The sequence below is a fragment of the Homo sapiens genome, chromosome 2 (assembly GCF_000001405.40).
Source record: "Homo sapiens chromosome 2, GRCh38.p14 Primary Assembly".
Taxonomy (NCBI): domain Eukaryota; kingdom Metazoa; phylum Chordata; class Mammalia; order Primates; family Hominidae; genus Homo; species Homo sapiens.
The window spans coordinates 81,693,490-81,719,829 of NC_000002.12; the positions used below are offsets into that span (position 1 = coordinate 81,693,490).

Consider the following 26,340-nt stretch of genomic DNA (forward strand, 5'->3'; position numbering starts at 1 on the left):
CCATGCCCCCCAACCGAACCCCAGCTGCAGATCCTTCACTGTCATTAGGCCCACCAGGGGACTTTTCATTACTTTATCTAAGATGCTAGGTTCTTAGTCTTGCATACTTTGATTGAAGACTGCTATAACTTTTAAACATAGAATTTAGGCTGCTCACTAAAATTTGTGTTTTCATCCCAAGCAGTCTTCACAAGTCTCTTGGTGCCTTTTTCCTGAATTGGGTGAATCAATGCCAGCGTTTTACCCACCAAAATCCTAAGATAAAAATATATAAAAGACTTTTGAATTCTGTACTACAATTCCAAATAATAAAAATCTACTCATGCTGACTTTTGCACCTATGAGATCAATGCCAGTTATATAGCATATTAATTTGGTGAAGGTTGTAAACTCTTTCGTGTTTAACAACCATTTATTCCCCATGCCTTCTAGGGTCACCTCTTTTATGATAATGCTCTTCAAACTCTCCTATCTCGCTGTCCTTTCATTTTTTTTTTTAAATCCTTGTGAACTAAGATACTAATTCATCTCTAACTTCCTGATCATTTTTTGCCTTTCTCAGTATGAATGCTGACCAAGCCATGTTTCATGATCCCCCTCATGAGCTAAATATTTCCATGCAGCTTTGTTTTCCTTTGCCTCTTCAACTATTTATTGCCTCCCTCACAGTCGTTTTCTCTAACTATACTGCATCCATTTTCAACAGCACTGCCCTAAATATGTGCATTCAACCAGCCATCAGAGTTTTGCTAGCAGCATCCCATCCCTATCGATCAAATATATGAAAATGATGCATTCCTAATGAAGAGTTTGTTTGTGCCAGTTAGCACTCTTTTTTAATTGTCAGATCAAATATTGTATGCAAAAGAACAACAGTGTATTAGCTCCTCCGCTCCTTTACTTCCACACTTTATTTAGCACTTTATCCTTAATTTCTTACTACCAGCCCAAGTCCTGTTGCTTTGCATTTCTCAATAATCATACAGCAAGCGCAAGCACTTGCTTAATGCATTTCATAAATATTTGGTACTTTGTGGTTGTGGTCTAAACTTTCCAGATTATTTACTGAAAAAATATTCAGTGTAATCTCATGCTGTCCTGAATTTCAGACCATCACTAACACTAATTCTTTTTGCCTGGTCCTGCCTTATTAAAATAGGCAGCATAATGAATAGCAAAAAATACTGCTTGAGGACTATTTTCCTCAATTAACCTCTCTGGATGCTGACAAAATTAGAAGAGTTTTATTAGCTCATTCCAAGTTGGATAAGCTATGGATCTAGAAGCATTCCCTTTATATTTCAAAACATTTGAGAACAATTATTACCTACTATCTAGAGTAAAACCAAAACCAAACATAAGTATACATTGAGAGCCTATAATGCATCAGACACTACATAGCAACAGTATGCTTTAACAGCCTCACAAAACTGCTGTAATTAAGTATTTTTATCGGTTCTTACAAATTAGAAAATTTATACTCAGAGAAGTTAAAAATATAATGATTAAATACATAAGCCACATCTGGACTGTATGAATCCAAACCTCATGCTTTTTTAGATCCCCCATAACTTCTGTGCTAATATTCAGGCTTGATCAGCAAGACTTTGAATAATCATAGCTCGTTGATTATAAGTCTTAAATCTATCCAGCACGGTATCTGTAGAATGGTAGTATATATATGGCTACTACAAATAAATCCCAAAACATACAAATGTTTAATTTATCAAAGCTTCCATGATAAAATTAAAATAACTTATTTTATACTATATAATAATATAACAAATTAGGCTATATTAATAAGTTAATAGTGGCCGGGTGTGGTGGCTCATGCCTGTAATCCCAGCACTTTGGGAGGCCGAGGTGGGTGGATCACGAGGTCAGGAGATCGAGACCATGGTGAAACCCCGTCTCTACTAAAAATACAAAAAATTCGCCGGGCGCAGTGGTGGTCGCCTGTAGTCCCAGCTACTCGGGAGGCTGAGGCAGGAGAATGGCGTGAATCCAGGAGGCGGAGCTTGCAGTGAGTCGCGCTAGTGCACTCCAGCCTGGGCAACAGAGCAAGACTCTGTCTCAATAAATAAATAAATAAATAAATAAATAAATAAATAAATAAGTTAATAGTATGAAGTTTTAGCTTTATGGACTTGCCATTAATTAATTGACACTCTTTTTTGGAATATTCACTTCTCTATCTTTGTAATCAGTTCAAGTATTCCAATGTTACAGCCTCACCTTCTAGACATGGTGACAGATAACTAAGTTGAAGATACCAATGTTTGCAGTTGCTAAAAGTTTCCTCTGCTACACTTTATCAGACCTTATAGATACCCAGTATTTTGAGTCAAGTTTTGGTAAACCTACTGAACTTCTCAATAGGGTATCTTATAAGCACCTCTATTCTAATTTATACATCAAACGTTTCTGGTATCTGGTCTTTTGAAGACAGCGTACCAAAGGGTCTTGGTTCTCTATCCAGCTTGCCACTCTGTGTCTTTTAATTGGGGCATTGAGCCCATTTACATTTAATATTAGTATTGATATGTGTGAATTTGATTCTGTCATCATAATGTTAGCTGATTATTTTGCAGACTTGTTTATGTGGTTGCTTTATAGTGTCACTGGTCTGTGTACTTCAGTGTGTGTTTTGTAGTGGCTGGTAATGGTCTTTACTTTCCATATTTAGTGTTTCCTTCAGGATCTCTTGTAAGGTACGTCTGGTGATAACAAATTTCCTCAGCATTTTTTTGTCTGAAGAGGGTCTCAATTCTTCTTGACTTATGAAGCATAGTTTAGCTAGATATGAAACTCTGGGTTGAAATTTCTTTAAGAATATCAAATATTAGCTCTCAATGTGTTCTGGCTTATAGGATTTCAGCTGAGAGGTCCACCGTTAGTCTGATGGGCTTCCCTTTGTAGGTGACCTGCCTTTTCTCTCTACGTGCCTTTTAGATTTTTTCTTTCATTTCAACCTTGAAGAATCTGATGGGTGTGTCTTGGTGATAATCTTCTATCAAAGTGTCTTACTGGAGTTGTCTGCATTTCCTGAATTTGAATGTTGGCCTCTCTAGCTCTGTTAGGGATCTCATGGATGATATCCTGAAATATGTTTTCCAAGCTGGTTTACAATTGCAACAAAAGCAAAAATTGACATGTGGGGTCTAATTAAACTACAGAGCTTCTGCAAAGCTTCTGCACTCAAAGAAACTATCAGTAAACAACCTACAAAATGGAAGAAAAGTTTTGCAAACTACGTATCTGACAAAGGCCTAATATACACCAGCTATAAGGAACTTAAACAAATTGAGGCAACCCCATAAAAATGTGGGCAAAGGACACGAGCAGACACTTTTCAAAAGAAGACATACATGAGGCCAACAATCATACGAAGGAAAGCTCGACATCACTGAACATTAGAGAAATGCAAATCAAAACCACAATGGGATACCATCTCACACCAGTCAGAATGGCTGCTATTAAAAAGTCAAAAAATAACAGGGGCTAATGTGGTTGTAGAGAGAAAGGAATGTTTATACACTATTGGTGGGAGTGTAAATTAGTTCAACCATTGTGGAAGACAGTGTGGTGATTCCTCTAGGACCTAGAGTTGGAAATGCCATTCAACCTAACAATCCCATTATTTGTCTTCTCTTTGTTCTCTAGTTCTTTCTGTTGTGTTAGTTTGTTAACTTGAGAACCAGTATTGTTAAAATGGCCATATGACCCAAGGCAAGTTATAGATTCAATGCCATGCCTGTTAAACTATCATTGACATTCTTCTCATAACTAGAGAAAAACTATTTTAAAATTCATATGGAACCAAAAAAAAATGCCCAAATAGCCAAGGCAATCCTAAGCAAAAAGAACAAAGCTGACGGCATCATGCTACCTGACTTTATATTACAGGGCTACAGTAACCAAAACAGATTTGTAGTGGTACAAAACAGACACATAGATTAATGTAACATAATAAAGAACCCAAAAGAGGACCACACACCTACAACTATCTGAGCTTCAAAAATCCTAACAAAAACAAGCCATAGGGAAAGGATTCTCTATTCAATAAATGGTGCTGGGATAACTGGCTAGCCATATGCAGAAGATTGAAATGGGACCCCTTTCTTGTACCATATACAAAATTAATTCAAGATCGATTAAAGGCTTTAAAACTCAAAACTATAAAAAACCTGAAAGACAACCTAGGCAATACCATTCAGGACATAGAAACAGGCAAAAATTTCATGACGAAAATACCAAAAGCAGTTGCAACAAAAGCAAAAATTGACAAATAGAATCTAATTAAACTAAAGAGCTTCTGCAAAGCAAAAGAAACTATCCTCTATTGGTTGGAGTGTAAATTAGTTCAACCACTGTGGAAGATAGTGTGGTGATTCCTCAAAGACCTAGAGGCAGAAATAACATTCAACCCAGCAATCCCATTACTGGGTATATACCCAAATGAATACAAATTGTTCTATTATAAAGACACATGCACACATATGGTTATCGCAACACTATTCACAACAGCAAAGACATGGAATCAACCTAAATGCCCATCAATGATAGACTGGATAAAGAAAATGTCGTACATATACACAGTGGAATACCATGAAGCCATAAAAAGGAATAAGATCATGCCTTTGCAGGGACATGGATGGAACTGGAGGCCATTATTCTTAAAAGAGTAACACAGGAACAGAAAACCAAGTACCACATGTTCTCACTTATAAAGGGGAGCTAAATGATGAGAACACACACTGGGGCTTGTGGATGGTAGAGGGCGAGGGAAGGGAGAGGGTCAGGAAAAATAACTAATGCATACTAGGTTTAATACCTAGGTGATGAAATGATCTGTGCAGTAAATTCCAGTGACACAAACTAACCTACGTAACAAACCTGTGCTTTTACCCATGTACTTAAAATAAAAGTTAAATTTTTTTAAGTGATAAAAATAAGTCAACCAATATTTTTGGATGAACAGGAAAAATATTAAGAATGAAACTTATGGAAGTACTCTTTTTCTGCCACAGTAAGGATATAATTACCTTGTTTTACGAATAAGAACAGAAGAAAAGCTGAAACTCAATGAGTTAAGCATCTAACACAATAGAAACATAATGAAAAATAAGTAGAACATAGAAAATTTAAAGAGCCTAAGTTAATAAAAAGAGATATTCCTAATATAATGGAAATTAATAACAAAACCAAACACTGATTCTTTGACAAGATTATTAAAATTGATCTTCATATTTGATTAAGAAAAATATATTATATAATGAATGAAAAGAATCTTACATATCCTGAAGATGTTAAAATACTATTTTGAATAACTGTCAATAATTGAAACTTTGAAAAAATTTCTAGAAAATAAAACTTCAAAAATTGACACAGGCAGAATTTGAAAACCTATGTTTAGCTGACATCATCACCAAGTTGTATTTAACATTCATATAAAAATAAACGCAGTATTTGCCATAAACTTCCAGGTGACTACATATGAGTGTATATTTCAGAACTCATTTTATGAAGCCAGGATATTCTATAAAACATTGTCAAAAATGACAGAAGAATGGAAAATATCTGTTTAATCTTACTCATAAACATAGCTGCAAAATTCTTAAGCAAAATATTATGAATCAAGTAATAAATAGCATAATTTATTGTGTAAATATGGGTTTACCATAGTTTTATTATTAAAAATTAGTCAATGTAATATGTAAAAGGATAAAAAGATACAACATGACAATATCAAATTATGTAGAAAAAACCCCTATTGAAAAAATTCAATATAATTTTAAGGCAAACTTATGATTTTGAGAACAAAACAAATTTTTGGAAACTTGGAGTTAGGAGATACCCTTTATTTGATAGAGTTTTCACAACCATCATAATTAATAGTGAAACATTGAAAGATTCGATTAACATCAACAATGTAAAACAATGAAATTTTGTTTGGTTTTAGGTGAATATTAAATAGTAAATCAAGAAGAAATAATAAAATTTAAAATTCAGCGTTTATCAGCCAACATAGTAAAAACTTATTTCAGTCAAAAAATATCAATACAATTCATCCTCCCTTAGCCACAGCTTTCACATCTGGAGATATTAATCCAAACACGGGTGGAAAACATTTAAAATAAAAACAAGTAAAATTATAAACAAAGAAAACACAAATTTTAAAAAGCATACAGGGTAATAACTACATAGCATTTACATTGTATTAGATATTTTAAGTAACCTAGAGATGATTTAAAATACATAAGAAGATACATATAGGTTATATACATATACTATGAAATTTTAAGTCATGGACTTGAGCATCAGAGGGTTTTGGCATTGGGACAGGAGTGCTGAAACCAATCTTCCAGGAGTACCAAGAGATAACTGTAGATGCAAAAAATAGTGGGTGAAAGTTTCATGAAGAACAATATTTTCCTATCTCAAAATACTTCCTCACAAAAATGCATTTTAATTATAAAGGGAAAAGAAGGGTAATTTTGTTTCACTTGAAAACCTGGCAAATATCTCCTTAATCAAGTCACCTGTTAACTTCAGAAGGTAATGGGCAAATCAAAATTGTAGACCACACAATGGGATGCAATGAGAAGAGTATAACAACACTTCTGGGATGTTCTTTCAAAAATGTATTATCTGAATGGTAATCATGAGAAAACATGAGGAATATTATTCAAAGCTACTTGCCTGTCATCTTCAAAAGTGTCAGTATCATGAAAGTCAAAGAAAGATTGAAGAATTCTTCCAAATCAAAGGAGTCGAAATAAATACAACAGTTCAGTGTAGCTTTTGATCCCGGGTTGGATCTTTTTCAATAAATGACATTAATGTGATAACTGGCAAAATTTTTACACAGTCTATAGATTACATACCAGTAATGAACCATTGTCAGCTTCTTCATTTAGATGGTTATATTACAGTTATATAGGAGAATATTCTTGGTTATAGAAAAAATAAACTGAAGTAATTGGGCATGATGGGATATCATGTCAATAAGGTACTTCTCAATGGATCAGGACTAACAAAGGTCTTTATCCTAGCCTCCCAACCTTTCTGGGAGTTTGAAAACATTTTAAATACAAATAAATAGTGGTCAAATGGTCCCCAAAGTTTAACAAGATATGCCTGCCAGTTTGGCAATAATTAAAAAGTTTAATAATACCAAGTACTAATGATGCTATAGAGCAATACAAAGTCTCATATGTTGTCTTCGGATATGTACATTGGTTAAATCATGTTAGAAAATAAGTTGGAATTGGCCAGGCATGGTGGCTCACACCTGTAATCCCAGCACTTTGGGAGGCCGATGTGGGCGGATCATGAGGTCAGGCAATCGAGACCATCGTGGCTAACACGGTGAAACCCCGTCTCTAATAAAACCACAAAACAGCCGGGCGTGGTGGTGGGCACCTGTAGTCCCAGCTACTTGGGAGGCTGAGGCAGGAGAAACGCGTGAACCCAGAAGACGGAGCTTGCAGTGAGCCGAGATCGCACCACTGCACTCCAGCCCAGGCAACAGAGTAAGACTCCGTCTCAAAAAAAAAAAAAAAAAAAAAAAAAGAACATGAGTTGGAATTAATGTGGTGAATTTGAAGATATGCAAACACTATTGCCCTGCTATGGTAGGCAGAATTCTAGATGTAGAATTCATGACCTAGAACTCATGACCTTTGGTCCTTACTATTACTCCCATGATTATGTTAACTTACGTGGCAAAAGGGATTTTACAGATGCATTTAGATTTACTAATCAGTGTTCTTAGGATGGGGAGATTTTCTAGGTGGGTGGTGAAATCACACGTGACCCCATTAGAGTAAAGTTTTCTCCAGCAGGTGGCCGAAGAAGATTCAGAGCACGGCGAAGATTTAAAAGAGGGATGTTCTTTGCTGTAAAAATACATACACATCGTGACATGGTACTGTGACTAGTCTCCCGGGCCTGAGAGAGGCTCCTAACAACCTTAGGAACCTCAGTCCTACCACCACCAAGAACTAAAGCAAAATCTTCCAAAAGGCAAGCTCAATTAATACCTTGATTATGGCTTTATAATATCCTGAGTAGCAAACCCAGGTGAGTGAATGCAGGCTTCTGAACTGTAAAATTGTGGGATAAGAAATTTGTGTTGATTTAAACCCCTAAGTTTGTGATAATTTTTGACATAGAAATAGAAAATTAATATACCAGGCTCCCCACCTCTAAGTATATACCAAAAAGAAATTTCTGAGCATGAAAATCATTGTACTCGTGTAGTATATATGTGTGTGTATATATATTTATTTATACATACATGAATGACATTGTTCTAATATCTAAAAATAGAAAAAAACCCATAGCTGTATATTCATATATTCATATAAACCCATATATTCATTCAATGCAATACTTCTGCACTGAAAGTAAATAAATTTTATCTACAAAAAAAAGTGGGTAATCTTACAATGTTAGGTGAAAAAAGAAAGACATAAAATATATATAATATGAATCAATTTGCATAAAGTTAAAAAACACACAAAACCAAGCTATGTTTTTAGGGGTGTTTTTATAGCATCCCTATGAACTAAAGCAAGGAAATGAGATACACAAAAATCAGCATAGTGATTTTTTAAATTGTGGCATATACAGTTCTTTGTGTTTGCAGATAATGTAACAAACACAAAGAAAATTATAACTATGGCAAAAATATTTCAAGGAATTGTTTTTAAAGTCTAGTATTAAAGGAGTATACTGGAATCTTAAAAAATTTAAGGACTTTTTGATTTAAGGAATTCCATACTTGGGATATTAGGCAGGTCATTTGGACTCAGCATATTTCTCTATCCCCAACAGTTACATGCCAGTGATGAAAATTCTACCATTGTTGCCTTTTCATTTAGACTTTCCCTCTCTGTGATTCTAAAATAGGAATGCTTGCAACAATAAAATATTAAACTAATCTTTCCGTATCCAGAATAACAGAATCACTTTTCTGAAGATGCATAGTTAAACCTCAAACACTAAATACCTATTGGATATTAGATACTGAGATGATACAGCGGCAGCAAATTGAAAAAATATGGGTTTCAGCAAGGTAAAGAAAATTGACTTAAAAGGGCCATTGATCACATTCAGGACGTATTTTACAGCATCATATCCCAATTTTGGATTTCCTCCCTTTGTTCTAATATACATACAAAGTTTGGGCGAGAAGAGTTCTTAATGTAAGAAATACTGGATGAAAGAAATACTGAAAAAAGGTAGTTGACTATGTGGCTATATGTCAATATGGGCCTCAACAATGAATTTACTTTTGGAAAAGGAAATGAATGACAGCAGAACAGAGAATACAGGCTTTAAATTTTCTTCCACAAAGAAGTACAATTTACAATATAAAAACACAATATAGAAACAGAGGAAAAACATAGGAATGTTCTTTACAATCTCCCTCCCTGTAAAGCTATGAACAAAAAAAATTTGCTTTCAATGATTTATACTATCAAGTTTTTAAATATCTTTACCAGCTCCAGAATTGTTCATCTACAATCACGTTTATGTTGATAAGGGCAAGCAGATGGTTAGGAAATCATATGATTAACAGCACGCTAAAATAGTTATCAGGATGAATGAGCAGTTAATTACCCATTGTTAGATGCATATTCCCCTATGAAAAATATACTATGACAATTTTCTTAAAAATTTCAGGAGGGCCTTTTAGACAAGGCATTGTAAATCCCCCAGGGGACAGGATAACAAGATGGGTGGAAGTTTATAGGAGGAAGACAAGTTGCAACCCCTTGGCTCATCTGTTAATCCAATACTCACAGCAGCTTCTCCTTTCATTGCAATATATATTGAGGTTATACAGGGAAACAGTCTGATGAAGTAATTAAAAGGTCGAGACATACTGACATAAGCCTGTAGTCTTAGCTACTTGGGAGGCTGAATCAAGAGGATTGTTTGAACCCAGGAGTTCAAGGCTGCAGTGAATTATGATCACGACACTGAACTCCAGCCTGGGCAACAGAGTAAGACCTTGTCTCTAAAAATAATTTTTGTAAATAACTGTTTTTAAAGGTCAGGATATAATGCTTTTTAAAAAGGAGTTAAACTTTTTCTCTAGCAATTGCCTACTCTAAGTTATATGAAGTCCCTAGCTATGACACTCAAACTAAAAAAAGCTGGGATTCATGGGCTAATTTTCCCAGGTGGAGCACAGGGCTGAGTCTCAACTTTATGAGTCAAGAAACGTGTTACTGTCCTTGTACTCAGAGATAATGAATGTGAGATAATATTCCTTGGAAAACTGAGTCTCATGTTCTTGACTCAACCTGTTTTTTTTTTGTTGTTTTTTTTTTTAATCTGGGAAATCTATCAGCAAAACAAAATTGAGATTCTGAGGGTGTTTTTGGTGTGAATGGATGAGTCATGGGTATTAGCGAACTTGGTGGCCTAGCAAAGTCAGGAGGAAGAAGGACCTAGTTTTTAGCATTCCCAGGACACATTGTTTCCTTGTAGCCAAAACCTGCTGTCCTACCTCAGGGCGAGTCTAGGAAGACTAGCAGGGTAGATGGAAGACCTGTCAGCACCTCAAGTCTCTGGGCTAGGTGGACTGTGACCTCAGTCTGGAAGAATCTGCTATAATTCTGGGACAACTCTGCTCTCTCAATTCTCTTTTTCTCAAGTTATTCTCTTTCTCACTTCTGTCATGCCTTTCCCTTCATTGCTAATCACTGCTGAAAATGAAAGCTCAGACACTATCCTGCTATTTGTGCTTTCAGCCTTTCCCTGAGGTAATTAGGCATAGTCTCTACGTGAATGTGGGAAAATAAGAGAATATGTATGGAACATCGAGAAGAAGTAAAACAAAAAACATAAATTAATAAGTTGAGCGGGTAGGTCTTATGCCTAGAATTCATGTTAGGTCCCACAGCCGAATGCAAATTATTCCACATTCTAAAGTCAACTCTAAATGTGACCTGTCTTCTCCCCCTATGCTGCGAAAGCCCTGCCACAGAGCATCATCAAAGACAGTGATTACAAAATAATAATAAATTCCGTAGTCAGACTGCACTGAGTTGAAACTGCACAATAAATCAGTAACAGATCTGTCCAATTAACAATGAGCCAAATATTTAATTTCATCACCCCTGTAATTTATTCTTGTTTATGAGGTCATTTCACATCCAAAATATAGAATCTACACACAACATCCTTAGATAGCTACCTATTACTATGGCAAGAACTGCCTTAATTGGTTATATTTACACTGACTTAAACAATGGAATTGTCTGGCTGATGAACTGCAAAATGAGGATTCTGCCCAGGTTTGGCCAAATGCTAATGGTGGGCTTGTCATTTATTAACTTCTGTAAATCCCAGAGAAAAAGGGAGAGTGTTTGGCATGTAAATAACATTGGCAGATTTAGCAAATAAAAATGCAGAATGCCTAGTTAAATTCAAATTTCAGATAAACAGCTTTTATTTTAAAGAATAAGCATATTGCAAATATTGCCTGGAATGCATTTATACCCCCAAATTAGATTTTGTTTATTTGAAACTTCAATTTAACTGGATGTCTTTTATTTTATCTACCAATTTTACATGTAAGATATCCCTTGTCATCAAACTTTTTTTTCACTGAAGATTTATCTACAAGTGGAACCAACTGTATCAGTAAGAAGCAAAGCATAAATTGCTTTTTGAATATATTTGTTGGAGCTGGATAGAAGAAACATATGAAATGTCATACTCATTGAAACCATAATATAGTATGATCTGATGTTTCAAGTTCTACCAATAATAGTCCATTTCTTTGTTGCTTTTATCAGGATTCCTTTCTAAATGTAAACTGTGGTAGGGAGCAGTTAATGAATTCCTGGTGCAACTGAATGTTAAAAATGAAATTCACTTTTGTGTCAAGTTTCAGCTAAGTTCCACAGATGCCAAAACAGAGTGAGTATTTATATAGATGTATGGTGATCATCATCTATGTAGGTTTAGTAAAACAGCCTGAAATCAGTTCAGTAACGATTAGCCTAATCCCCACGTTGAGAGCGTAAGATTAAGCTCAAGTAGCTGGGGAAGAGAATATTTTTGTGGGGAGAGTTCTAAGTATGCAGTAAATCTTTCTCCCATCTAAGTATGCAGTTAAGTCTTTCTCCCATGGAAAAGGTGGGGATTTGCTTTCTCTCATTTCAGCCTTAGTGAAAAGATTGCAGGAGATTTTTTTTAGAGAGCATCATGTGTTCTCTTGGAGTGGACTTCCATGAGATGTGAGCATTACAAAATAAATAAAGTAGAAAGAAAAAGACTACCATTGTGAGGCTGGCTAAAGTGGTCTGTGGAAGCAGGTTGTAAGATTATTTGGGGAAAATAAATACTCTTTGACTGAAAGCAGGACACAATTTCATGTTTCTAGGGAACCAGATGTGGTAGGTGTATTAGCCAGAGGAAGTTTTAAAAGCTGGAGAGGTTTTTCTGCAAAGGGTGAATTCATTAGAGGTTCATTAGAGGCTGAGGGGAGGTAGCAGGTAGACAACCGAAAAAAAGAGACTTTGGCCATTTTCTAGGTGGTACCAGCTAGAGGTGTTCAAAAGCAGAACTCTGAGTCATCCAGGAAAGCACTAGGAAAGGCAGATACAGCTTCAAGCAGTGGCCAAGGGGAAAGCCAGCTCAAAGACTATCAGTCTCACCAGACATTTTCTGGACTTACCTCTGAATATTTCCTCTCTCAATTCTGCAGAAAGAGGACCACTTAGTGAATGGGAGAAGGTGAAAAGAGGATGTCATAGGTAGTGAAATAGAAAATAATGTAATCATAGTTCATCACCAAAGTCAGTTACCACCTGATATAGGCCCAAGAGGTCAGGGGAACTTCAAGTGCAACACTGAGCTTCTGACTATTCTACAGAAATAAATATTTCAAATACTGATTGAGCCCATTCTTGGATAAAAGTTGCCAAAATACTTTTTATTATATGAGTAGCTGGAGATATTCTGCCACCTGCCCAAGATACATTATGCTAATTGATGAGGAGTAAAGGGCAGATTTAGTACATTTGTAAGGTAGGAGACATTTCTGTTTGACATCTAGAGCAGGGGTCAACTTTTTCTGTATAAGGCCAGATAGTAAATTAATGTTTTAGGCTTTGGGGGCCAAGAAAAAAAATGAGGCTATTACGTAGGTGTTTGTAACAACCGTTAAACCATATTTTTACTGAATGTTTATTAACAAATTCAGAATATAACAAGAATTTAGTAATTTTTTGGTAATACACATGTATAAGTGAGGAGAATTGAATTCTTTTTGGGTGGATAACATTTTTCTTAATTGGGCTTCGATGTTAGTGTTCTTTACTATCAAATAGATTACAGAGGTTCATCTGTAAAATCAGTTCTTAGCTCATGAGCTGCACATAAACAGGCAGTAGAATAGATTTGGCCTGCATGCTATTTGCTTACCCCTCTTATAAAGCCCCAATTCTTTCATCAAAATGGTTACAACTGGACATGTGTAGTTTCTCCAGGTTTCCCCTAGGTGAAGGTTTGAATGCAAATGAAGCCATCAGGCACTGGGGCGTGAGTAAGCCAAGTGAAATGTAAAAGGAAGTGTTCAGCTCTCTGGCAGAGAGGGAAAAACTGTGGACATGAGGGACATCTCACTTTCCCTGCTCCTGGTGATTTCACTTGCGGTAATAACCCTCCATAGTGGTCTTTCTGCATTTGCACCTGCCCAAAGTACCACTGACACCAAAATTAATCAAAGAGAATGAATTTTCCAGAAGGGAAGAACTACCACAAAGATGCTCCTCTTATGAAAGGAAGCAGCCAAGTCACTTGTTCCATAGATTATTTTTCCCCTGTCTTTCTCCTTAAAATTAGTCAAGTTAAATTGATGCCATTTGTAAAGACACTGACATAAGTAAATGAGAAACTTTGCAATAGAGTTGATCGATAGCTGAAATTATGTTAATTTTTCTCTGAAATGGAGATGAGATTTCTTCAGCAGAAAACATACTACTCCATATAATATTCCATTTACTTTGTGACAGTTTAGCATGTTCAATACTTTTCTCTGGAGTTGGGTACCCAACACTGAAAATTCCACAATTTAGTGATAAAACTTGATTCAGTGCTAACCCAGCGAGGTGGTAGTTATTGCTTTGCGGAGATGAAAGGATTTTGTTATTGTTTTCTGGAATAGAAAATGAGCAAAAAAAAAAAAAAAAAAAAAAAAAAAAAAAAAAAACATAAACTCAACAGGAGCTCTGAGAAATATCTGAGAAATACTGACATGTTATTATAAATCATTATGTGAGGCAGAAAGCAAGGCAAAGCCATGAAATCTTCCCTAGATTCCTTCATTTGGGTTGAGAAGCTATTTGGCTTGCTTTGATACATTCCTAATGTAGTGTGAAAATGGGTTTACTAGATATATAGGACATCATCTGGTTACCTGTAAAACAGAAGAAAATTCCCTGGGAATCACTTCACAGTCTTTTGGGAAACCCTATATGATGCTCAGTACCAGTTACCTGAAGGGGTTAAGGAGACAATCCCTACCTTTCGGCAGTTTTACACATTCAGAATTTCTCAGACTTCCTTGACCCTTTCAAACTGGGGATGCCAATTATCCTATTAGATGTAAACAAGGATCCAATCACAGGGAGCAGAGTGGGAGATATTAGCTTCTATGTCATATGCTAGCCTAGTTGAAGGAAGCTAAAGGTCATTTGTAAACCTCCTGTTAACTTCTAGAAGGCCTGAGGATGGTTGCAATCTCTGGAGTCACAAGGGCCTTTTTTACAGATGACCAGCTGGTTAAAAGGAAGAAAAAAAAAAGGAAAAGAAAAAACTGTTATTAGCTTTTTAAATGATAGTGTAACGAGGCTTGGTGAGACAAGAAATGCTAATGTGTCTATAGTAGAGAATAATGTAAATAAAAATTAATCAGAAATGTACTAAAACCCCTTAAAAATTAAAATCTAAGAAATTTTGTCAAATATGGATTCAAATATATTAGTAAACAAAATAATTCACTGAACTTTACACTTTGGATTTTGCAAATGCATTTTGAATGTCTACCATTTATACATATTATATTAAAAATCAATTCACTCACAGAAAGCTAGAGTCAAGAAGGGACCTTTGAAGTCATTGGGGTCAGCATGTCTCTGGCCTCTGTGAAATAAATGTCAGTGGCATTCCCCAGTCACATGTTATACAAAAACCTTCACACACATTATGCATCATTTTACTGTTCAGAGAACTAAGTGGAGAGGAATTGTATTACAGCAGAGATATCACAGCATAGCTTTTAGAAGTTCAATGCTTAGAATTAATTAGACTGACCCAAATCCTGGTTCCACCACTTGACCACTGACAGATATTGAGAGTTTTAAAAAATCTCCATCAGCATCTATTTGGTTTCCTGTTAAAAGAAAAAAGCACATAGCTCTATTTACCCCCAATAAATATTGTGGGAAAAATGGTGAATTTACCTCCTGTGCATGTTTTTGCTTGCTTTTCTAGTTGATTTTAAATACTCTATTAGTAAAAATATTAACCTTTATGTTTCTAAATCTTGCAAATGTGTTTATCATGATAGTTGGCATGGAAATTTATGATTAAAAATATGGATTCTATATTTCAAACCGTTTCTGCTCTTTCTCCTTTGATGTTACCCTCTGTTTCTTCCAAGAATCAAAAGAATTCTGAAAAGATCTGTACAATTAAAGTTTACAGTCTAGTTCCCAGATTGACCATTTATCAATTTTGTGGCTTGGTTACCAAATTAATTTCTCTAATTTTGATTTCCCCATCCATAATGTAGTAACAATAAGACTTATATTACTACAAGGTTTTCTTAGAATTAAATATACTTAGTAAACTATAAAGTATTATGTAATCTAAGAACGCATTGGTTCTTAAGAGAAGATATGCAGGTAGAACAAAGATATATTTACAGTTTTCTCTATACTTAACATTATTGTTATATAGTATTACAAAAAATGTACTTTGTAAGTTTTTAGTGGTATAGTTTTTTCTTACTCAATTTTAATGTCTATAGCTATTTTCACAAATCCAGTATACACAGTTCAGTTGTTGCTTAGAGTTAGTCAATTTTATTCTCCAATGTAGATGTACATTTCTTGTATGGTGTCTCAATTCTCACCTGGTGTGTTGTGCTTGTTTGCTTGCTTTTGCTTATGTTTTACTAAAAACTGATGGATCTAATATTCCATTCACTTAGAGTGCCTTTATCTGCCTGATCGGTTGATCTGAAAAACAAACAAACAAACAAAAAAATGATGAGCACTACTGAGTTAGCCCTACTTAACAATTCAGATATTGAAACATAGAAAGCAAACTCACTATAAAAATAAAGTAGAGTGTGTTGACACTGTCCTGGAAGGTAACACTAGACAGGCAGATGACAACATTAGATATCAAAAGTATAAGTATCCTATTTGAAATCAGTTAAGACATTATAGATATATACTGTTTTTACAATAGTTACATTTGGATTTGGAGTAACCAGTGAGAATACTTAGAAGCCAGTAGGGTTTTGGGACAAAAAGTAGGCATTCTACAAATTGTACGCAAGAGGGCCCCAAGTATTATACATAGTGGGCTCCTAAAAAGAGTTTTTCAGGAAAGATTTTTGCATTCAAAACACTTGAAAACCTTTCACTGGCTTGATAACTATTGCAGTCATTTATCCCAGCAAAAACAGTCTCCTAAATCTCATCTTGACCTTTGTGATTGATATGGTTTTGGTGTGTCCCCACCCAAATCTCATCTTGAATTGTAGTTCCCATAATCTCCATGTGTCATGAGAGGGACCCAGTGGGAGGTAATTGAATCATGGGAGCAGTTACCTCCATGCTGTTCTTGTGATAGTGAATGAGTTCTCATGAGATCTGATGGTTTTGTAAGGGGCTTCCTCCACCCCTTTGCTCTGTATTTCTTACTGCCGCCATGTGAAGAAGGATGTGTTTGCTTCCCTTTCTGCCATGATTGTAAGTTTCCTGAGGCCTTCTGTATTATAAGGGTTCTCTTAGAGGGACAGAATTAATAGGAGATATATGTGTGTGTGTGTGTGTGTGTATATATATATATATATATATATATATATATATATATATATATATGAGTTTATTAAGTATTAACTTACATGATCACAAGGTTTCACAATAGGCTATCTACTTGCTGAGGAGAAAGGAGAGCCAGTCCAAGCCCCAAAACTAAAGAACCTGGAGTCTGATGTTTGAAGGCAGGAGGCATCCAGCACAGGAGAAAGATGTAGGCTGAGAGGCTAGGCCCATCTTGCTTCTTCACATTTTTCTGCCTGCTTTATATTTGCTGGTGGCTGATTAGATGGTGCCCACCCGATTAAGAGAGGGTCTGCCTTCCCCAGCCCACTGACTCAAATGTTAATCTCCTTTGGCAATACCCTCATCCAAGATCAGTATTGCATCCTTCAATCTAATCAACTTGACACTCAGTATTAACCATCACAAGTCCACCCCTTGTCAAGTTGAAGCCATACACAGCTCCTGAGATCACACATAATCTTCAAATAAAGACAATAAGGTCATAATTACACCTAACGTAATACAACTATCTTTTGTACAAGCAGAAATGCACCAATCCCCAACCCAAATACTATTACATAAAGTTAATACTTAAATGCTGATATGAAGTCAATAAATCATATGTCACATGATAAAAAGGAAATAAAATGAAGATATTGTCTTCGTACAAGTGTGCACATTCACAAACATGTTTTTAACAAAAGAAGGAGGAAATACTAATGACAGTTATGGTCCTTTCTGCAGCCGATCACGTGGTCATGGGTGGTATTGATGACTACCTCCTTCTACTACCCATTAGGTATTCCCTTTGCCTTCAGGAAGCACTTGAGCAGGTTGTGTGTGTGTGTTTTTGTTTTGCTTTGTTTTTTGTTGTTTTTTCCTAGTGTAGTGACCCAAACCTTCATTCCCAAGGGGTCTGGACCATTTGTAGTCCTACTTGGATTGGGCTGTTGTAGTTTCCCATTAATCTTAATCACAGGGCATGGTAATACTAAGAGAAGCCCTAATAGATCTCCTGTATTCCATGCGTACACTTCGTTACCTCCATTGTAGAGTAGTAGACTGATTTCATCTTGATAGTCCAGACCAATCACCCCAGCCAACACTGTAAATCCCTTTTCAGCTTGCTGACTCAAAGGTAGGAGGAGCCCAAAGTGCCCAGGTGGCAATCTTAACCTCCAGTTTAATGGAATTGTTATTGTGTCTCCTGGTGGCAGCATTCCTCCCTCTGGAACTGAGACCTCTAGGCCAGCAGAACATAATATCTTGGGAACAGGAAGCAAAAATTTTGCTAGTGGATCACTAGGGGTGACAGTGAGTGGTGCCACTTCAATTTCCACCCCTTGATTCCCAGACCCGTGAATCTGGGCTACAAGAGAAACAGTACCATATATTGAATGCTGATTCAGAGCATACATGGCCTTCTGGAGAACTTTGTCCCAGGCCTGCAAAGTATTGTCACCTAGTTGGCATTGTAATTGTGACTTCAAAAGGCCATTCCACCGTTCTATCAATCCAGCTGCTTCAGGGTGATGGGAAACATAATAACAGTGAATTCCATGAGCATGAGCCCACTGCTACACTTCTTCAGCTGCAAAGTGAGTGCTTTGGTCAGAGGCAATGCTGTGTGGAATACCATGATGGTAGGTAAGGCATTCTGTGAGTCCATGGATGGTGTTCTTGGCAGAAGCATTGCATGAAGTATAGGCAAACCCATATTTGGGGTAAATTTCTATTCCAGTGAGGACAAAACTCTGCCCTTTCTGTGATGTAAGAGGTCCAATGTAATCAACCTGCCACCAGCTAGCTGGCTGATCACCCTGAGGAACGGTGCCATATCAAGGGCTCAGTGTTGGTTTCTGCTGCTAGGAAATTGGGCACTAGGCAGTGGCTGTAGCCAGGTCAGCCTTGGTGAGTGGAAGTCCATGTCGCTGAGCCCATGCTTAACCTCCATCCCTGCCACCATAGCCACTTCGTTCATGGGCCCATTGGGCAATGACAGGGGTGGCTGGGGAAAGATACTGAGTGGTGTCCACAGAACGGGTCATCCTATCCACTTGATTATTGAAATCCTCCTCTACTGAGGTCACCTATTGGTGAAAACTCACACAAGATACAAATATCTTCACAGGTTTTGACCAGAGAGGTCCATCCACATACCTCTTCCCCAAATTTCTTTGTCACCGATTTTCCAATCATACTTCTTCCACGTCCCTGACCATCCAGGCAAACCATTGGCTACAGCCCATGAATCATTATATAATCACACATCTGGTCATTTCTCCTTTCACGCAAAGTGCACAGCCAGGTGTACCGCTTGAAGTTCTGCCCACTGGAAAGATTTCCCTTCACTGCTATGCTTCAGGGATGTCCTAGAAAGGGGCTGTAGTGCTGCAGCTGTCCACTTTCGAGTGGTGTCTGCATATAGTGCAGAACCATCTGTGAACCAGGCCTTAGTCTTCTCTTCCCCTGTAAACTGATCATAAGGAACTCCCCATGAGGCCATCAGGGCAGGCTGAGTGACAGAAGGAAGGGTGACAGAAGTGAGAGACCATGGACATTTGAGCTACTTCCTTATGTAACTTACTTGTGCCTTCAGGAACTGCTGGATCCTGATCACATATATACCCCTTCCATTTGATGCTGGAACACTGCTGTGCATGACACACTTTACGACTAGATGAATCAGAAAGCACCCAGCTCATGATAGGCAGTTTAGGTCACATGGTGACTTGATGACCCATAGTCAAACGTTTAGTTTTCACGAAAGCCCAGTAACAGGCCAAGAGCTGTCTCTCAAAAGGAGAGTAGTTATCTGCAGAAGATGGCAAGACCTTGCTTCAAAATCCTAGAGGCCTCTGGTGTGATTCACCTATGGGGGCCTGCCAAAGACTCCAAATAGCATCCCTATCTGCCACTGGCACCTCAAACACCTTGGATCTGCTGGGTCATATGCCCCAAGTGGCAGAGCAGCTTGCACAGCAACCTGGACTTGTTGCAGAGCCTTCTCCTGTTCTGGAGTCCCATCAAAACTGGCAGCCTTTCAGGTCACTCAATAAAAGGGCCGGAGTAAAACACCCAAATGAGGAATGTGTTCACCCAAATGAGGAAGTTTACCTCAATAATTGCTAGAATATCTAATGGACTATTTCCTGCTACACCTACACGCCCCATCCCTATTCACTTTCTCTGTTGGCTTCTTTACCTCTTCTTCCAAGTCCATTAGTGACCTTTACCTACAAGTTTGTGTAGAAATCAGCCTTGACAGAGACAAGAAGTGTAATACAGCCTCCTCAGCCTCTCATTGCATAGAATTTAGAACTCAGCTACTTATCCTGCTTGTTGGGAGCCTGGTACATAGTAAACAATCAAATAAATATTTCTTGAAAGAATAAATGAACAAATAAATGAATTTTTATAGCATCATTTTATTATTGAGTACCCTTTGCTGACAATTAGATATGAAGTCTTCTGATGCCCTGGAATTAAGTTCTGCATACTATATTGCTCCCAAATCAAGTTTGTCTTCTTGCTTAGGTGTAGGTAAAACTCATGATCAGATACATCACGACCAATTGCTCTCTCAATACAAGATAGCAACTACTGAATAAATCTCTTAATCTTCTTTTAGATTTTGTACTTCGTTTTTTACCTTTACCATTATAGTCATCACCACAAGCTTAATCTATTACATTTTTTTCCCAAGATAATGGTAAGGATGCATTTTTTCATTCAGATCTATACTAGAAAGCTAGTCATCCAGTCTCACTAATAAGCCAAAGACCTAGGAGGAGTGGACAAAGTAAATTACATCAGAACATTCACAGATCCACATTTGAAGTCTAGAATTGTTCTACTAAAAAGAAATTATAAAAAATTAGCTGGGCGTGGTGGCATGTGCCTGTAATCCCAGCTACTCTAGATGCTGAGGCAGGAGAATAACTTGAACCTGGGAGGCAGAGGTTGCAGTGAGCCAAGATCGTGCCATTGCACTCCAGCCTGGGCATCAAGAGTGAAACTCTGTGTCAAAAATATAAAAAAAAAAGGTGTATGGTTCTTTGTCATTTGTTTGGTGGAGACTGACTAGTCTCTTTCCGGAATATTCAAGCTCTTTCGGATGAGTCTTAACGTCTCCTAAAAAAGACAGGCCAATGTTCCCATCATTGCCATTTACTCAATGATCATTTATTTTCCAGCTTGTCCACCATCTCAATTTTAGTGTTATCACTGTTGAGTAAATTGTCCTGAGGCAGCAATCTGTCATTCTCCAAAGACAACTCAACTCCCTCAGAACTTTACAGGGCATAGGTGTAGCATTCAAGAATATAATTTGCAAAATGACATCCTGGGATGCTAAAATCTTTGATTCGTTTCACATGATAAGTCATTTCTCTGAAATGGTTATGTCGTCATTGCACTGTGGCAGAAGGCCAAGGGTAGGCCATTTTAGCTAGCTGAGGTCACTTGGCAAGTCTGCTTACAATTCCTGGCCCTGGTGAGATTCATTCCAGTGATGAAGTAAATCTTTCTTTGACAAAATGAAGATATCATGTTCCATTAAGTAGAATTTATTAAAATAGTCAAATATTCTCTGCAAAGTTCTATGATAAGGAAAAAAACAATTTTGTTCAATATCCAAGTAAATTACCATAGAATATCATAAAAATACTGAATAATTGATTCATTAAATCATTTATGCTCCAAACTAAACTTATAGTGTGCCATAGCACTGCATTTGTTATAAAAGGAAAAGGTTAATGAATTAATAATAAGATTTCTTGCCTGTCAGAATTAATTGAGATATTTGGAGGAATATTTAGAAAGAAATACAAAATAACTTCTATGAAACTAGTATACATCAGTGAGGATATATGGTCCAGAATTTTTGAATATCTGCTTAATGGGATATTTGGAAGAATCAAGTTATAAGATGGGAGACAGAGGGGAAGACATACTGGGAGAGACAATGACATTTGCCAAGGCCTATAAGCCCACTAGACTAGTAAGAGTATGAGGGAGAGAGAGTGGGAAAATGAGAGGAGATTTCTAGTCTACTTAGACATCTTCTATTCCAACTACCAGAAGACATGACAAATCTCAAAAGTGGTAGAGAAAACTTCACTTGGTCGGAAGTTATATAGATCTTGATAAGTCTGTGCCACTCACCATTTGAGAAAGCTGTTTCACCTTCCTGAATTTCAGTTTTCTAGTGTTTAAAATAGTAATAAGTTGTAATGAGGATCAAATAAGATGATACATGTAGAGCTCTGTGTCTGCAACAGATCCCAGGGAAATGTTAGAATCCTTCCTAAGTCCCCCTTAATTTAGAGGGGTTGCTATTGTTATTTAATTCTAAGACAACAATCACCACACAGCCTACCAAAAGATTCCTATTAATGCATCTCCTAGAAACCAAATACATAGAACTGTGAGCTGAGGTCACCCTGAGAATATTTTCCATCCTTGTACCTAATATAGTCACTTCTAACTGTATCTTTATGAATCTAGATTTTCTGTTTTCTGTATTTGTATTGGAATCAAGGATGTGAGAAGACTTTGGAAACTGCAAAAGAAAAGAATTCAATTATACCAACTATGTCTACATTTTAAAATTTATTGTTCATTGTAATTTTTCCAATAATTTTGATTTTTTAAAATTGTGTTAAATATTATTTGATTACTGATTTGGGGGGTATCTTTTTAAATCATGTGGCTGAGGCAAGTATCTTATTGTCTTACCCTAGTCCTGGGTCTGTAGGAGGTATTTTTAGATGTTGATTGAGCAATTTTGTTTTTGTGTCACCTTACAATAGAATTCAGGGTGAGCTTCATCATAATATATTATGTCAAACAAAAAAGAAAATTGATGTGCAAAAGAATCATCAGCAGAGAGGGCATGAGATTACTCCAACCAAGGAGATGGGATTTCTTGACTGCTCTCCCTCCCATTTCATTATCACAGATATGGCCTCATGGCCTGTGTAGCCCAGTGCTCAAAGGCCACTTCAAGGTGTTTGGCATGCAGTCAGCATCACTGGAAAACTAGACATTTCTCTTTTTGTTAGTGACACCTCCGCTGGTTTATGCTTTTCTAATAATAATTTATGATTCATTGAGCACTTATAGCATGCTAGACATTGGAATATGTATTTATATTTCTCGACCAGTTTTAATTATTTTTAAGGAGCCAATAGGAAGTTTTTATTAACATTCTACAGATGGTGAATCTGAAACTGAGAGACATCAGCCAACCTGTTGAAAGCCTGTTCTTAGAATTAAGTTTCAAATATGGCAGCCTTCCTCAAGAGAAAAGAACATTAAAGAGATAAGACATTAAAGTTGGAACTCTGAACTCTGGAAATAAATATAAATTAGACTACAGGTTACCATGCCCATAGTTGAAAGATCTTTATGATCAGCATAATGTCAAAAATAATATCCTGATTGGAGTTATATAGAATTGATAAAACATCAACAAAGCTGCAACAACACACACACACAAAATCAAAGTATCATCCCTGAAAATACAGAAAAGATAAGAAGCTAGGTTATTACTGTGGAAGCAAAAAAAAGGACCAGGCTCTGGGAAAATTTCAGCAGTTCATATTGGCAGAGTTTGGAATACAGAATACAATAGTATGAGTAGTCTAGAAAAGTAAAATAGAAGTTATGAATCAAATAGAATTGGGTAAGCTCTCAGCTGACTAAAAGCCACATTGGGAGAAGGGCATAATTATTGGATAAAAGTAAGCAGCAAACCATCCTAGTTTGCCTGGGACTAAGAAAGTTACCCCAGACATAATCACGTAGGGCTAAAATGAGGACAATTCCAGGAAAGTTGTACAGTCCCAGGAAAGCCAAGATAGTTTGTCACTATAGAGTGAACTAGAAGTTCATAGTCTAAGCAATCAATACTCAGAATGGCCTAACTGGATGAGGCAAGTCAAGTCAAGTGGTGAGTATGCTAAACTTAGAGATGGAAGGTAGACAAGTCAGGTGGTAAGATGAGCTAGATTCAGAAATATGAGTGTAGGCAGGAAAGTCAAAGTTCTCGGTTATTCAACAATCTGCTCGGCTAATGGATCGAATAATGCATGTGCAAAGAGTTGCAAAGTAAATGGTAATACATTTCAAAACTGAAAAATAGATCAAGTATTATGGGGAGTTAGAGGGTGGAAAATTGCCAATTGCAGTGAGATGAGTGAGGAGGGATTGAAACTGATATTTTAAGCAGATTGATTTGTCATTAAGCATATTTGGAAGAAAGCAGATGGAAGATGTGATATCAGAATGGGCAGGAGATGTACAAAGTACACACTAGTTGTATACCTGATATGCCCTACCGTTTGAATGGAATTTGGAGCTGAAATGGTGTTGTAGAAAACTGCATCTGGAATTAACATTAGGATTGGTCTTTAATATCAAGGTAAACATTTTAGATTGTATTCACCAAATATCAGTGAACCAACCACTTAAAAACTTGTTATTAGGAAAACGGGCAATGAAGCTGAGCTGTGCTTTAGAGAAATTGCCCAGACAATGGGGAGCTTTGGGATAATGAATCACTGGATACGTCGAGTCCTGCAAGGTGTAATGATAACTGTCCAGAAATGGTAGGAGACAAAAGCTTGATAAAATGAGAGGAGGATGGAAAGAACAGGATAGTGAAAAGATGAGAATTCAAGGCAGTGTGGCAAAGTGGGATAAGCTCAGGTTTTAGAGCTAGACACACCTCAGGTGATTCCCCTGATCCTTGGCTTAATGGCAATATGAACACAGGAAGAAATCTGAACTCTTCCAAGCCTCAGATTCTCAGCTGCAAAATGAGAATAATATTACCTACATCAGAAGCCTGCTTTAAATTATCAAATATGACAACCGATGTAATATCCATATTACAATGCCCAGCACCTAGACCTTCAGTAAATGGTGACTATAATACCAGAAATTGGCAATTGGTTGCAGATGGGAGTCAAGGCTAAAGTATCAAAATATTGTCACAATTTTATATCAGAGTTATGCAAGGGTTTTCCAAAAGTTAATGAGATAGCTATTAGGTTTCTCCCTCTGAAGTTATAAATAATTTATCTGCCTTCAAGCCTCATCTTTGCCAGGTTCTAGTCCTGTAAACTTGAAAATTCACCCAAATTTCTCCTGCAATTATATTTGAGGGGGAGAAGAGATGTAAAAGCACACACATAATTATATATCATTTACTAGTTGGCAAATTGCTTACAGAATGCTTACATTCTTAAACATTTCTTTAGGATTAGATTTTGGTGTTGGGCATGCCAAAGAAACACATGGATTTTCCTCTAAAGAAATTGATTCAGTTGTTTCCAACATGAAATAGATAGGGTTAGGATCAAGCACACTAAACATAAATATAGGAGCTGCTCAGATAAGAGACTGTACTGTGGGATAGATATTCTTACGGGCCGGTTCACAGGGAATGCAGAACTTGAGCAGCAATGAGTAGGATTTGTTGATGGGATTCTTAAAAGGGAATCTGGAACAGTTTTTGGAATACTCTGACCTGTTCCATTAGAGTACAAAAGCCTTGTTCTGTGATAAAACCCCCTGGAGTATCTTCCTTTTTCAAATTCATGAGCTGATTCTTCTTACTGCTTGAAGATCTTGATGATTGGAATTTGCATATTAAGGTGTAAAGTGGGACCAAGAGTTTTCCAGGAGCAGCCACCTGGCACAAAGTTATAAAAATGTCTTGAATGACGGCAACTTAAAAGACCTAATAATCCAGCCTAAATGGAAAATAAATGTAAACGTAGTACAGAACCATTCCCAAGAAATTTTGGCATTAAAAGAAGTTCATTTTGTATGCCACATTGGTCCTCTTTGAAGATGATTTTTTTTTTAAAAAAAGGCAAACTGAGGACATTCTATGCCCCTCATGCAGCCCACAGTAAGATTTGAGAATACCAGTGCTCACATTGGAATTTCCGTAATGACTAGGGAATATATGTCCATATGGCTTGGGAATGTCCCTCAGCCAATAACTCTTAGAAGGAAATTGTAAGTGCACTAAGGGGCATCGTTAACAATGCTATTCTCTTAACCTTACAGCAATGTATTTCAGTTTATGGAACTTATACCGACATTTACAGACCTTTGGGGAAAGTACTGAATGTGGGTTTAATCATCTTGGTTAGATATGTGACTGTCCAGGCTGGGAAAACTCTTTTTGAAAGCATGCTCCTTCTTTCAGTTTCAACAGATGTTAGAAGAATAGATC

The 26,340-nt window shown here is 36.8% G+C and overlaps 2 long non-coding RNA genes across 15 annotated transcripts in view; one reads left to right on the forward strand and one right to left on the reverse strand.

Moving 5' to 3' along the window:
- Nucleotides 1-26,340, forward strand: part of LOC102724542 (uncharacterized) — a 368,996-nt gene that overhangs the window by 211,752 nt on the left and 130,904 nt on the right. The window lies entirely within an intron of this gene.
- Nucleotides 15,343-16,271, reverse strand: LOC105374828 (uncharacterized). Its single transcript, XR_940293.3, has 2 exons — nt 16,166-16,271; nt 15,343-15,421 (listed from the first exon to the last, which is right to left on the reverse strand). It is a non-coding gene; the product is annotated as an uncharacterized LOC105374828 (long non-coding RNA).